The following is a 14,058-nucleotide window of genomic DNA, read 5'->3' as shown; positions in this document are numbered from 1 at the left end:
GGCCGGGAGCGCCGCTCCCCGCCCCTCGCGCCCCCGCTCGACTCCTCCTCCTCAGGCCCCGCTCCTGGCCGCTGCTCCTCCCCTCCCTGCTGATTGGGCGGGAGTCAGGTTTCCAAGACTCCCAGCTGCGCCGGGGCTCCGCGCCAGGGGGAGAGGGGGAGGGGAGCGGTGGTCCCGCTCCACCCCTAGTCTAGCCCTGCTCCAAGCCCGGCAGAGGGAGACTGGGGCGGCCCTGAGGAACGCCCTACACCCCCTCCTAAAGTTGATCAACCTCTCCTCCCCTCCACCGTTCCCCTAGCCTACTCACCTCCCCACTCCGTTCTTTCCCAGAGAAGCGCAGCCGCTGCGCTCCGGCCGGTTCAGCAGGATCAATAACCAAAGTGCGCAAAGAAGGCGACCTCGGAGAGACCTAGCAGAGAACAGGAGGTTGGCCTTGCTCGGGCGCTTGGCGGGGTGGGGTCGGTGGGGGTGCTGGAGGCGGGGGCGCAGGCCTAGGCTCAGTGCGCCAACCCCTAGATTTATACCCACACCCACACTCATGAACCCAGACCGGAGGACCCCCTCCCCCGGCCCTCCTGGAAGAGCAAGGCAAGAGTGGGCGAATAAGGCTAGCAAAGTGAGGCAAGAAGACCGACTCACCCGCATCCCCGGGGGAGAGTGAACAGGCACACAGACAGACAGCCGGTTGCAGGCGCCCAGAGGCTCGAGAATAAGGCTGAGACCGTGGTAGGCGGCAAAGTCCTGGGTTCCCCGCAGGTCTGAGGCCGTCACAGGGGACCGCACCACGAGACAGGGATAGAAGGTGGGGATTTCCTTGTTTCCCCCGCGGAGCTTTCTCCGTGCTCTGTCGCTGTCCCGGGTCCCGCCTTCTCCGAGGCTGAGGAGAGGTAAAGGGCGGAGGTGAGCACGGCTGGAAGTGAAGCAGGGTCAGGCTGTGAGGAGCGGAGCAGCTGGGGTCCCGGGGCGCAGCCCTTTGAGGCGTGCGGATCCCCACCATTTACTGGAGAGGCCAGCGCTCTCCCGAGCCTAGTGTCTCTCTCAACGCACCAGAAGGGGCCTTCTTTGACTCAGAAGGGGGCCTGGACGAAAGATTGAGAACGAAGGTGTGTGTGCAAATGTGTGCACGAGCAACAAGGCCTGTGACCCTTCCCCTAAAGCACTACAATCTCAGACTTTCCTTCGTTTTTCTGACCTGCTGGCGTGAGCAGGGTGCTTTGGTCTGTCCAATAATCTGGTTAAGGGTGTCTGTGAGAGCTGGCGTGGATATGCCCGTGAAAGTGGCTGTAGCATGGCTGAGTGTGTCCCTGGTGCAGCCTCCATTATCCCTGTGAGTGGGAAAGCAGGTGTATGAGTGTGTGCGTGTTTCAGTGGCATAGTGTGTGTCCAATGTGCATGTGAATGGTTGTGTGTTTCCGATGCCAGATGTTCCCGGCAGAAGGTGAGGTTGGGGGGGACACACACCAATTATTTAATTGAGTGATTAACAACTACTCCACTTAGGGTATGGAACCTAGGAAAAGGGGAGGGTAAAAAGGGCAGGTCGGGAGGTCTTGCTGGTAATACTAACGGAAAGAAGGGAAGGGAGGAAAGAAGAGGGGAAGAAAGGAAGGAAAGAAGGAGGGAAGGAAGGAAGGAAGGAAAGAAAAAAAGGAAGGAAGGAAGGAAGGGAAATGCAGCCACAAAGTGATTTGGGCGGGGGGGCAGGAAAGGTGGGATTGAGCCCAAGGCTTAAGTTACGGTTCAGAGGGAGAGCAGCGTGGACTACCTGTAGGTGCTGAGAGTTTGTGGGCCTGGGGCACGGGGCTGTAGGAATGTATATGTATGTAGGAGGGAGGAGTGAGAAAGAGGTTTCAGGAGGGTCCTGGGGAAAGTGTGATCCAGTGGAACCGAGCTCGAGCTCGGCTGAAGGAATCCATGTTGCATGATGTGCGGTGAGCTCTGCACTCTGTTCCTCCCGGCCAGGCCCTGGGAGTGGCAGTGAACTCCTTAATGACTGCCATGCAGGTCAGACCCTCTCCCTCTCCATCCGCCAAGCTCCCCAAAAGTCTTGTCTCTCACCCAACCACCACTTCTACTCTGCACTTCAGTTTTTTGCCTCTCTGGCTCTCTCAAGTTTATTTTTATTACTTGAGTAAGATGCATCTAGTATACAAAAATTATAAACAGAAATATAAGCAAACACTCGGCTTGCCTGGACACTGCACCCCTACCCCCAGCTCTAGCGGTTCTGCTTGCTGCAGATGAGACCCCAGTTTCTGTGCAGACAAAAACAGAAAAACAGCACTTGCTGGACCGTGCCAGGCTTTGTTTGTTGTCATCGTTTTAATTTTTCATTTCACAAATGGCATCTTTCCACACCAGTAACTCGGGTCTTAGTCCCGGAGTCCTCTTCCAGGGCCCATGGATGAGGTCCTAGGTGTCAGCACACTCCTGGGAAAAGTCAGAAGCCTCCCATAGAGTCCTTCGGAGCCAGGACCCCGGAGGTTCTGGCAGCTTTCTCTTCCCTGTCTGCCCCGGGGAGCCTTGCAGGGAGCACTGCCCAGCTCCAAGCCAGCTAGGTGTTGACTCTTGGGTGTTCCAGTCTTCTCCTTTCTCCTGCACCCTTTATTCTTCCTTTCTCACGTTCTCTCTTGGAGGTATAAGATTCGGCCTCCCTCAGGAATCCTGGCTTTCTCTTCTGGGCAGGTCTGGGCAGTGGGGCGCCAGCCCCGGTGCACGTGCATGCGGGGATGGAGTAAGGAAACCAGGGTTTCTGTGTACGGAGGCGCCGGGGTGTGTATGGAGGAGGAGTGGAGAGGAGGACTGGGTCTCCTCACCGAGCCCTTCCCTGACTAGTCAGACCCCTTTCAGGCCGAGCTGGGAGCCTGGCCAGCCTCTGGAACACAGGTTCTTGAACCCCAGGCCGCTTCGGCCCCCGAGCCTCCCTGAGCTCGCTGCCTGGGCGGTCTAGTTCCCCACCAAGAAGGCGCTTTGTGCAGGAGCCACTAGGCTCCCACCGGCGTCCTCCCCTTCCTAGAGACAGAGGACATCTTGCCTCGCTAAGTCCCCCGGGTCCTTGGTGAGGAAGGCTGGGCCACATGTGCCCGGGTACAGACACATGGTGAGGGTGTACTGGGGGATGTAGGGGTGCGGTACCGCGCCTTCAGAGTATGTGCGTGGGTTGGAGAACAAAGCGTGCGTAAGTTGGGTCCCTGCCTGGGTCTAGAGGAAACTTCCTGCCCAGTGCAAGACGGACGCAGAGCTGGAGGAGTGGTGAGTCCGCCTGGCACGAATTCACTGGGATCAGGGATTCCTCATTCGAAGCTGGGACCTGTCCCGGGCCTGCTGCTCTCCTCTTCACCTTCAGTCTCCACCTGCGGCCTCACTGTGATCTCAACCCGCCAATACCCCAGGAGCCCAGATAATTTCTTTCGACTCTTTACTTCCTCTCTTTTTTGGTAAGATGATTGAGAAACTGAACCTAGGGGAGTTGGAAGGGAGATGCCAGACGGTGGGGGGAGGGCAATGGTGGTTCAGGTCCTTCATTCTCAGTGGGAGGAATGGCAAGACCTTCGGCAGGGAGGGGCACTCCTGCTCCCAGCTCCCCTTAGAACTGGAATCCCCTGGGGTTTCTCCAAAGCCCGGCTGAAGTCGGGTAAAGAGGCCATCCTCTCTGGATTCAACCTTGCTCAGCATCCTCCGCCACCCTCCAATTCCTGCCGCCTTTTCGGGGCGTGGGCCCATTCTGGTCATTCCCCCGGGACCCTCCAGACCCGCACCACCCGCCTTCTTGCCTTTTGGCCGCTCAGCGGGAGGGACTGACCTCCCGAGCCTTCGTGGTGCTAGGAACTGGATCCCTGGTGCCTGTGGATAAATACACTCCCCTGCCCCCTACCCCCAACACCACGACCCGCAGCAGCCCTCTCTAGGGTCGGCAATGTGAGGCCTGTGCTGGGTGCTAGGGGAGCTAAGGGATGTATGTGAGTGGGTGGAATTCGTAGGCCAGGCTCCCCCAGACACTACCCAGTACCTTTCTGCGGAGCCGTTCTGTCCTTCACTGCCAGCGCTCTGGAGGGCTGGCAGAGCCTTCAGTATCCGGTTCAGGTGCTCAGAACCTGTGTCCAGCATTCTTTCTTCTTTCGTATCCCTCGGGGTGCTCTGGCCGGTGCACCAGGCCGGCTCTCCAGGCCGGCTTTCCAGGCCTGGACTCTGTCCTGCTCAGCTTGGCTCCTTCGGGTGCGCTTGCCTCTAGCTGAGCCTGGGGCCTGGCCTCTCTCCGGCGGTGCGCAGGCGTCGGGTGCCTTCCCGGGTTCCTCCTGCTTCTTTCCTGTCCTCCCCTTTGACCCCTCTGCCTCTACGACCCTGTTGCCTCTCTCAGCTAGCGCATCCCCCCAGCCATTTCAGACCCAGAGCCCCAGAGGCTCAGGCAGCCTGGGTTCCTCAGCTCTGCTCCACTAACTTTCTTTTTGGGTCTCCTGCCCTCCTCTCTCCTCGCTGGTTTTGGGGCCCACCTTAAGGCCCTTGGGAAATCCTCAGTGGCACTTGCCCTCCTCCCCAAAAATCCAGTCTTTGCCTGCCATTCTGCTCAGCCATCATGCAGGAATGGGAGTTCTGCAGCTAAAGAGAGCTGGGAGCTTGGGATGAGCAGAGAGGAACAATCCTCAAAGAAACCACTCAGGGAGCATAAGTGAGTTGGCAGAAAGCCTCTGCACCCTGCTTCCTTCTCCAGCCCCCTGCCTGTGCCCCACCTCTAGTGCCTGGGATCCTGACCTCGGCACCAGCCTGTTTGGGAGTGACCCGCTATCCCACCCGCTGCTAGGGAAGGATTGACATTTTAAGATGTGATGGTATTGGATTTTGGTATTTTTACAGTAAGTATTGTTATTTTCATAAAATAATAAAAATATATTTATTTCTGAGAAAAGTAGCAGCACTGAAAGTGAAGGAGGTAGCTCCAACAGTGAGACCACAGGCAGTTCCTTGGGGTGTCCAGAGAGGTGGGAGAGCTCCTCAAATTCCACTGTGTAGGCCCCTCCTGGATCACTGGCCCCTGCAGGCTCAGTCACTGCTTATTTCAGACAACACAAAATGACCCGTGGCATGTCTGTGCTGGATGCCAGTGTTGCACTCTGGGGTTTATGCAGGAGAAGGACCCGTGGGCTGTAGGGGCACTCTCTATGAGCATGGGTGAGAGGTTACCCCTTAGTGGGGAACAGGGAACCCAAGTTTGCTGTGCTGAATCTGACTGGTTCAGGGTGAGAAGCCAAAGACTCCAGCCACTGCACCACCTCTGGACCTACCACCTATCCAACCTGGCGTTTACCTTCTCTGGCCTAGGCCCACAGGGTCTTCAGTTGGCCTTGTGTGCTCTGGGCTGCAGGACAGTAGCTTCAGCTGCTGCTGAATCCTTCCCTCTGCCACCTCAGTGTGGGTTTCTGGACCTAGTTTCCCCTAAGACACCTCTAGGGCACAGCAGGGAGCCCCCTAAGGCAGCACTTACCTGGTTTGCGCCCCTTTGCTCCATCTTCTCTGCCCCAGCAGGGATTCCAGCCAAGTGGTGGGAGCTCTAGAGCCCGTCAAGATTTGCTGCCTGTGTGCCAGGCCCGATGCAAGGTGCTGGCAACTTTCCTGATCTGCTGAGCCCCAGGGCCTACCCAGGAGGGCTTCCACCAGGGAGGCTGTGGGTCTAGGCTGGGCTGTAAAGAAGGCCACACCGGAGTGACCACTGCTAACATGCCAGACCTGAGGAGATCCTTTAGGTACCTAACCAGGCAAATATATATCAGGCAGTACTGCCTTGGCTGTGGCCTTGGTCCAGGGTCAGGAAGCTTAAGGAAGGAGGCAAACTGGAGTTCTCAACACTTGCCACATATTAAATCACCCAGACAACTTAAAATGACTGGTGCTCAGCTGAAGACCAAATGGCTCCTTAGTGGTTCCTAGTGGCCATCCATATATTTAAAAGCCTTCCAGGTGAAGCCTGGTTAGGAACCACCTGAGGGCTGGGGAAGCTGGCACTTTGCTGGAGCAAAGGCCAGTGGTGATCAGCATGCTCTGGTTCAGGAAATGAGAAATGGTCAGGACTTTAGGTGGGGTCAGGGAGGAGGAGGCAAGCCAGGGGTGGTGGAGTCTGGGAGATGGGAGAAGTTTTGCGGGGAGGAGGTTCATTCGGGGATGGTTGAACAGACCCGGGCAGGACACGACTGGACCCAACCTCCAGGTGTCCAGCTTAATCTGAAAAGCCTCTCCATCCACAGGACTCAGGATTCTCCAGGGCTGCCCAAGGGCAGGGAGAGGATGGCTGGGCCAGAATAGGGAGAGAGGTCCCAGTCGGCAGCCAGTGGAGACCAGTGTCCCCAGGTTCTGGAAGGGGGGCTTTTGGACTCCTGACTTGGTAATCTTCTCGTCTCCAGATTGATCCCAGACTAGCTGGCTTCTTCCTTCTTCTCCCCAGTAGTTCTCTGTGACTCTTCCTCCTCCTCCCCTCTCACCTGATGATTTGGCCACCTCCCCCTCCCTTTGCCTCCGCTTCTCCTTCTTTTCTTTAGCCTTTCTCCCTCCCCTCAGCCACCCCTTCCCTGGGCAGTTCTGTCCTTCCTGTCCCTTGAGTCTTTGAGGCAGTTTCCCTGGTAACCTCCCCACCAACACTCTCTCCTTCCTCCATCTCCCTCTTCTTGCTTCTTAATTTCCCCTCTTCTTTTCTGCCTTCTCCAGGAGTGCCCTCTTTCACTTGTCCATTTCGGACAATTACAATCCCACTGGGTGCAGAGTTGGAATGAACAAAAGAGATGCAAGAGACTTGAGACAATCTTCTAAAACTTTTTCTTCTTTCTTAACAAATTAAATCCCTTTACTCCTACCACTCTGATTTTATCTATGTCATCCCCTAAATTCACTCAATCCTTCATCTGTTTTCTAACATGGAATACACTGGCTAGTGCCGGAAGCTGTGCTAGACTCATAATTTAATGAAATACTCACAAGACTATTTAGGACGGGGGCTCAGTTGTTTCAATTTGCAGAAGAGGATACTGAGACCAAGGTCATATAGCTGGTTTGTGTGGGACCCCAAGGGCCCTGCCAAGGCAAAAATCTCTTCCCCTCCCTCCAATTTCACTCTGTGAAGGGAGCTCTCTCCCAGTCTAAGAGGTTCTCGGTAGGCTGGATTCAGGCTCCTGGCACAGCCCAGGAGGGGCCTTTTGAATTGAGGGGCAGTATCATTCACTGCAGGGGAGCTGCGGCCTCTACAGAGACTGAAGGAAACTTGGACTGCAAGGACATGGACACTTGCAGGGCAGAGCCTGGATCTACCTTGACTGGGTGGTGGCCTTAAGTTCTAGAACTATGTGTGTATGTTGTGTTGATTTTGTGTTTTGGTAATAGCTTTATTGAGATGTAATTCACATATCATAAAATTCACCCATTTAAAGTGTATAATTCAATGGTTTTTCGTGTATTTACAGATATGTGCAACCATCACTACTGTCAATTTTAGAACATTTTCATCACCTCAAAAAGAAATCTCGATCCCCCAGCCTTCTATCTCCTCAAACCCCCAGCCCTAAGCAACCACTAATCTACTCTCTGTCTCTATGGATTTCCCTATCCTGGATACTTCATATAAATGGAATCATATCATCTGTGGTTTTCGTGCCTAGCTTCTTTTATTAGCATAATGTTTCAAATTTCATCCATGTTGTAGCGTGTATCAGTACTTCATTTCTTTTTCTGACTGAAGAATATTTCATTGTATGATTAGCTCACTTTTTGTCTATCCATTCATTATTGATGGAAATTTGGATTATTTCTACCTTTTGTGTGAGCACGTCTGTGACTCCCAAACTGGTTTTCAGCCTTCAGGTCAGCGCTTGACCAGAAGAGTGGGGGAGTTTTCTTGGGAACAGCTAGATGAGCCCGGCAAGGCTTGGGAAATGCCACTGGATGGCTATGGGTCCCCAGCTAATCAGTCACCTTCTGGAAGCATTCTTTCTGGTTTTGTCCAATGGGGAGGAGCCACCTGGACTGCAGCCTTATAGGAATACAGTCTCTGGAGCAATGATTCAGAGTCGTGGCTCTTGGCTAGGTTGGGTTCAGATCCTGGTTCTACCACTTAACTAGTTGCTAACAGGCTGCTGAACCTCTCTAGGCTTCAGTGTTCTCATCCATTAAGTGGGAGTAATATTAGTATCAACCTCTGGAAATGTTAAGAGGAGTAAATTAATATATTCAGAGCACTTAACCCAGTGCACTTTACCTGGCACTCTGTGGGTGCTGAAGGAAAGATTTAAGCTTGTATCATTTAAGGCTTAGAGCCAAGAACACACTGTAGCCCTAATTGCTCCCTCTCCTCCTCCTGCCAGGGTGAATGAAGAAATGAGGAGGTTAGCCATGCCCAAGGGGAGCAGCGGGAGACTGTCCAGCATGCGGGTTGTGAACCCAGATTCCAGGGCCCTCCACACTGACTACCTTAGTGCCTGTCCCAGGTGGTGGGTGCAGGAGAAATGCAACTGGCTGCCAAGGCTGAGGACAGCAATTCTCCTCCCAGGTTGGCTCAACCCTCTTTTTCCCAAAAGTGGCCATTGGGCTCAGAGGACAGTGTGCTGTGAGGCCCAGGCTGGAGCCCTGTCTTCATCCAACTCGGCCCTGGCACAGACCCTGGGGAGCATTCTGAGTTTATCATTCCAGTCTCATACCCAAAGCCAGATCCTGCATTTTTCCCAACCTGAGAACCCCAGCCTATTCATCAGCCTTTCCTGAGGCCCAGGGAAGAACAATTCAGGGAAGGAACAGCAACTCGAGCCCAAGAAAGATCTGAGTCCTCTGGCAAAGAGGCAAACGGAGATTGCAAAGGCTGTGTGTGAGTGTGTGTGTGTGTGTGTGTTTGTGTGTCGCGGGGGAGACACGGGAGGGGGCAGGCATCATTTCCCAGGCATTTCCCACGTGATGCTCCTGGAAAGCTCAGGGTGCAGTTTGGATCACTGGGACTGCTCTCTGGACTGTCTTTGGGGAGGGGCCTGGAGGTCAGCATGGGCGGCCTTTATATCCTTTGATACCTTTTGAATTTGTGGTGTGTTAAAAGTCAAACAAATCCAGTAAAACACAAATTTAAATGTCATTGTTAGAATGGATTTGAAGCATTTCGTTTCTGTGTTTCCATCAAGGGCAGTGGCTCACCTTTCCTTCCTGACTGTGCCTCAGAGAGGTTGCCTACAGTGACTTACCACTTAGGCAGGTCTTCTTTTCGTCTTTGCCACTAGTCACTACAAAGTAGGCAGGTCTCCTTTTCATCTTTTTGTCCTTTTTGTCTTTGCCATGCCTTCTGTGCAAGCCAGAACACTGTACATTCAAGGTCACTAACCACCTGTCTCCCATGTCCCCAGTGCTAGGAAACCCTCAGGTTTAGGGCCCTGTTGCCTCAAGCAATAATCATTTGCGATCAGTGATCTGTGTCACCTGCAAGCGGGTTCCAGACTGACCTTGGCAATCAGGAGCCAGGCATCTCTGGCACCTCTTCCTAGGTCACCCTCTCTCTGGTTTCCCCTTCACCATGTGAGCCAGAAGCTCTGCTCTCGGGCTCAGGTGGGTCCCAACAAGCATCCAAGGCCTGTCTGCTGAGTGGCCTATTGTCCATGGTGAATAGGAGGGGTTACCTAGGGACTGAGTCTCTAGGAGCCACTGGCCTGGGTGGGACCAGGCTAGAGGAATTCTCTATCTCTTGACCCTGGGAGAGGACTTTCAAAATGCAAGGGTGAGGAGCTGAATGACAGCCTGTTTTGGGTGACTGTTGGGCCTGTGTGGGAAGGCACTGGCCACTATCCAAGGCCCTCTAGAGGTGGCAGCCTCGGGGGCCCGTCCTCTTACCCCAAGATGCTGCTAGGAATTTATATCTACTGGAAACAGTTCTCCAGGAGCTGTTGCACATTCTTTGAAATATTTGTCATCTAACAAATGTTTATTGAGTTCCTAAAATATGCCAGGCACTAGGGGACAGCTGTGAGCCAAACAGACTCGAATAGTCGGTCATGTAGCCTATATCACTGGAGATGGCCAACCTTCCAGGGGCAGTCAGACTGATACAGGGCCAAGGCTGGAACCCTGGAGTTTGATCTTTGGGGGTGGGAGAAGCATGCTACCTGGTTGTTTACATGTTGCACATACCAGGGGATAAGTCTAAGTATCCGATTTTTTTTTTTCCTGGCTAGAAAACAGCCTCTGAAAATAACTCCCCTTAAATAAATGCTTTTTACTAAGCCTCCATGGTCCTGTAATAAACACCAAGAAGGGGAGTACAGTGCTTTGTGTTGGGTTCAGTTTGCTTACAAAACAAAACAAAACAACCCCAAACAAATGTGCAGACCCTTGCCTTGGAGGTGTTTGTGTGTGTGTGTGACCTGTGTTTGTAAATGTGTGTAGTGTGAACTAATTTCATCAACTTTTAAAATAATGACTTTTACTATTTTTTTTTTAAGAGACAAGGTCTCACTCTGTCGCCCATGCTGGTTGCAGTGACACGATCACGGCTCACTACAACCTTCTACTCCTAAGCACAAGCTATCCTCCTGCCTCAACCTCCTGAGTAGCTAGGACAACAGGCAGGCACCACCACACTCGCCTAATTTTTTATTTTTTATTTTTTTGCAGAGACGAGGGTCTCGTTATGTTGCCCAGGCTGATCTGGAACTCCTGGCCGCTAGGGCTTCTCCCTCCTTGGTCTCCTAAACTGTTGGGATTACAGGTGTGAGCCACCCCGCTCTGCCTTTTCTTTTTTTTCTTTTTCTTTTAAAAGGAAAACATGCATCTAAGAAAAAATTCTAAGCAGCACAAAAGATTAAGAAATGACTACCAGGTGTCTCTCCAGAATCTCAGCCCCATCCCTAGAAGCTCAAGCTCTCGTCCCATCTCACTCTCCGGTTTTAAAAATGAGATCAAGTCGCCCTGTCCGCGGTTCTTCCTGCCTGCCCGCCTCGCCGGCCTGGCTCTGGCTCCTAGCGGCGGGTCTCCTGCTTACCTTTCCTGCGCCCTCACTGCGCGCCAGCCACTTGGGAGAGTGCTTGCTTCCCCACAGCGTCGCCAGTTTGGTGTGTTACCGAAGATTTTGATCTTTGTGGGTCCGATGGGTTTCTTAAAGAAAGACATGAATTATGCTAGGGAAACAAGAGGAAGCAAGAGAAGGGCAGAATGTTTGAGGCAAGAGACGCTTTGCTTGGGTCCTGGGGGTGCGAGCGCGGGCTGGGGACAATGCGGGGGCAGTAGTTGCCTGAGCTCCAGATCACACCTGCACTCAGAGGCGGGAAGCCCTTATCCTGGTCACAGCCGCGCGAGCGGAGAGAGGCGGCGGGGCGGCGGGGTCAGCGGGAATTAGCGCGCCAGGGCCGGGGCGAGGGATTGCCGCGGGGCGAGAGTTCGGGACGGGATTAGCGGGTTCAAAAGCAGGTCAGGGAGAGCTAAGCAAGGCGACGAGGTCCGCGCGAGGTCAAGGTCCCCGAGAGAGGCGGGTTCCGGACTGGGCTCGGGAAAGGCAGCGGGCATTGCGATCGCGGGGAGGCTGCACCGGGAAGCCCAAGTTCCGAGCGCGTGGAGGGCTCGGCCGGCATTCGAGTGTAGGCCGCGCCCTCTGACGGCCGCGGGGCGAGGACACCTCTGACCATGGGCCTTGGTCGGGAGGAATGAGCGAGGGGCGAGGTGAACCCGGGTACGAGTGCGCGGCAACTTCAATGAATGTATCCGAGGTCGCCAGGCGCGCGCGCCGCAGATCTGCGGAACCGGGTTTATCTATTCGTCTTTTACATCGTAATCCCGTTTCCTTTTATTTTTACAACACTTTTTTTTTTCTGGCAAGGGAAGTCATCTCTTAGGCAAACAAACAGTCAAAAATAAAAATAAAAAACCGCACTGAACAATGCAAAGAAATGTTCTTGGCAGGAGCCAGTCTCTCCCGCGTCTCCTGGCACCTGTGGCCTCCCTGCGGAACAGATCCCAGAGTGTGACACCTTCTGTGTAAAAATAATCGCAACCCACACTCCACCCTTCTGTGCGTCCTGCACACGCACCAAGGGAGAGCTGGAAGGACAGCCGAGGGATACACGCTCTTCCACGAAATAAATATGTTTTAGGGGTGTGTGTGTGTGTGTGTGTGTGTGTGTCTGAGCCTCTGACTTGAAGTTATTGGAGAAGGTATTCACACATTATTTGGGTTCTCTCTTAAAGAGCTCTTGGGTTCTCTCTTAAAGAGCTCATGGGAAACACACCTGGCGGTACTGTGGGATGCGAAGTGGGCGCCTCACTCGGAAACCCCGGCCTTGGTGGATGATCTAAGAAAAAAAAAAACCCAGATGGACGGATACATGGGCACTTTCGGGATCGCTGGGTGCAGGCCGCCGTCGCCATTTCCACCGTCCACTACTCCAGGCACCTGCCTCTCGTCCCCAGCCTTGGCCTTTAGGTCTCCCTTCCCGCAGATGTCGCCTGGAGAAATGGAGCCCGGATGCTCAGGCGCGCGGCGTGGTATCCCCAAACCCGGGACCTCTGTTTTGGGTCTGGTTGATTTTCCACGGAGAACCGAAGAGTCCGCTCCTCAGGGGCGAAGTTTGCAAGTCCTTGGGGTAGATGGTGACGGGGGCTGGGGCGCGAGTGTGAAAGGACAGGAAAGGAAGGAGAGGGGAGAGAGAAGCAGGCTGAGAAGTGGGGGAAGCCGCGGAAGCCGGCAGCGCGGGAGCGGAGACGCGGAAGCCGGGTAGGGGGAGGGGCGGACTGGGACCAGGGCGAGGGGCGGGGCCGGAAACGGGCGGACTCGCGCCCTAGACAAAGCGCGGCCCGGTGGGCGAGGGCCAGCTGCTCTCCCCGCAAGGTCTCCCGAAACCGGGCTTTCGCTCGGCCAGCCGGCTGGTTCTGGTGGGGACGCGCAGGTTGCTAGTGGGGAAGCCAGTCCAAAGGGATCGATCGCCGGAGAAACCCCACGCATTCACCCAAACAGCCTTCGGCTCAGGGTGGCCGGAGCAGAGCCCAAGGGTCAAGGGCGAGGGGCCCCTTCCCTGCCCTTTTGTCCAGGTGGACTCTGTGGCCGTCGTTTTGTTCTGAGACCCCCTGGGAATGCCACTGCCGGGCCACAACCCCGACTGGCAGGTCAAGGTGCAGGAAGTCCCGCCATTAGAAATGCATTCCCCAGGCTGATATTACCTTCTTTTTCTCAGTTTTACAGTCATATACACAATGGTAAGACTCCTCTTGACGCCACTTCCAACCTCTGTGCACTGTTCGCATGGCTAGAACAGCAATAATAGAATTGAAAGCAGGAAAAATATCCCCGTGCTACCCCTAAAAGACTCAGTCTTTTTTTTTTTTTTTTTTAAATGTGCATCTTTATTTTGCATAATGTTAGTCCTGGTGAACATGTAGTTTTGTATTCAGTCTTTTCTACTTGAGGCCACACTTCAGTATTTGCTATGTGCTATGATCCTCATAAGTATACTTTTCAATGGCCGAGTAATGCTCTATTATGTTACTGTGTAATTTACTTAACCGTTCAATTACTTGATATTCTTCCGTGTCCAGTTTTTCTGTATGAAAATAATACACAACCTAAAATCTTCGTGTATATAGTTTTCTCCTTTGGGGAGGATTATTTCTTCAAGATTCTTACTGTTTCAGCAGGAAGGGGACATTTTCACTACTCTTAATAAATTGCCCAACCGCTTCCCAAAGCAATTTACGCAGGCATTTATTTTCGGGTCATTATGGGCGTGGTGCTACCGGTCAGGAATGTCCAGACTAAATCAGTCCCACCCTTAGAGCACTTTCCCTGCACCCCAAGCCTCTGGGAGGCAGGCCCTTGGAGCAAAAATTACCGCGCAAAGTGGGCAGCACGGTAGGGAGAGGAAAGAAGAGGCAATGGGAGCCGGGGAGTGGGTGAGGGGTGTGGGGGTTCTTTCCCCAGCCTGGAGAAAGTCAGGTAAGGCTTCACCTGACTTAGCAAGGAAGTGAAGGTGACTCCCGAGTACAGCCCCAGGCAGGGGTTTGCCAAGTAGAAATGGAGAGAGAAACATAGAAACCTTTGTCTGCGCAGGCTGCAAAGTTTGTTGG

General features: G+C 53.8%; 1 long non-coding RNA gene across 1 annotated transcript, besides 1 other annotated feature; it reads right to left on the bottom strand.

The window, feature by feature from the left end:
• Positions 10,592–12,705, bottom strand: LINC01143 (long intergenic non-protein coding RNA 1143). The gene is made up of 4 exons (NR_126384.1): positions 12,396–12,705; positions 12,228–12,290; positions 10,988–11,100; positions 10,592–10,755 (listed from the first exon to the last, which is right to left on the bottom strand). It is a non-coding gene; the product is annotated as a long intergenic non-protein coding RNA 1143 (long non-coding RNA).
• Positions 12,198–12,848: an enhancer, noted in NCBI's record as "H3K27ac-H3K4me1 hESC enhancer chr2:71114858-71115508 (GRCh37/hg19 assembly coordinates)". NCBI's record gives its function as "activates a minimal SCP1, AML or CMV promoter by ChIP-STARR-seq in naive H9 embryonic stem cells {active_cell/tissue: H9 hESC(naive)}" and the evidence as "EXISTENCE:reporter gene assay evidence [ECO:0000049][PMID:30033119]".

The sequence above is a fragment of the Homo sapiens genome, chromosome 2, assembly GCF_000001405.40.
Source record: "Homo sapiens chromosome 2, GRCh38.p14 Primary Assembly".
NCBI classification, from domain to species: domain Eukaryota; kingdom Metazoa; phylum Chordata; class Mammalia; order Primates; family Hominidae; genus Homo; species Homo sapiens.
The sequence above is the reverse complement of the archived record's forward strand: the minus strand, read 5'-3'. Positions and strand labels throughout refer to the sequence as shown.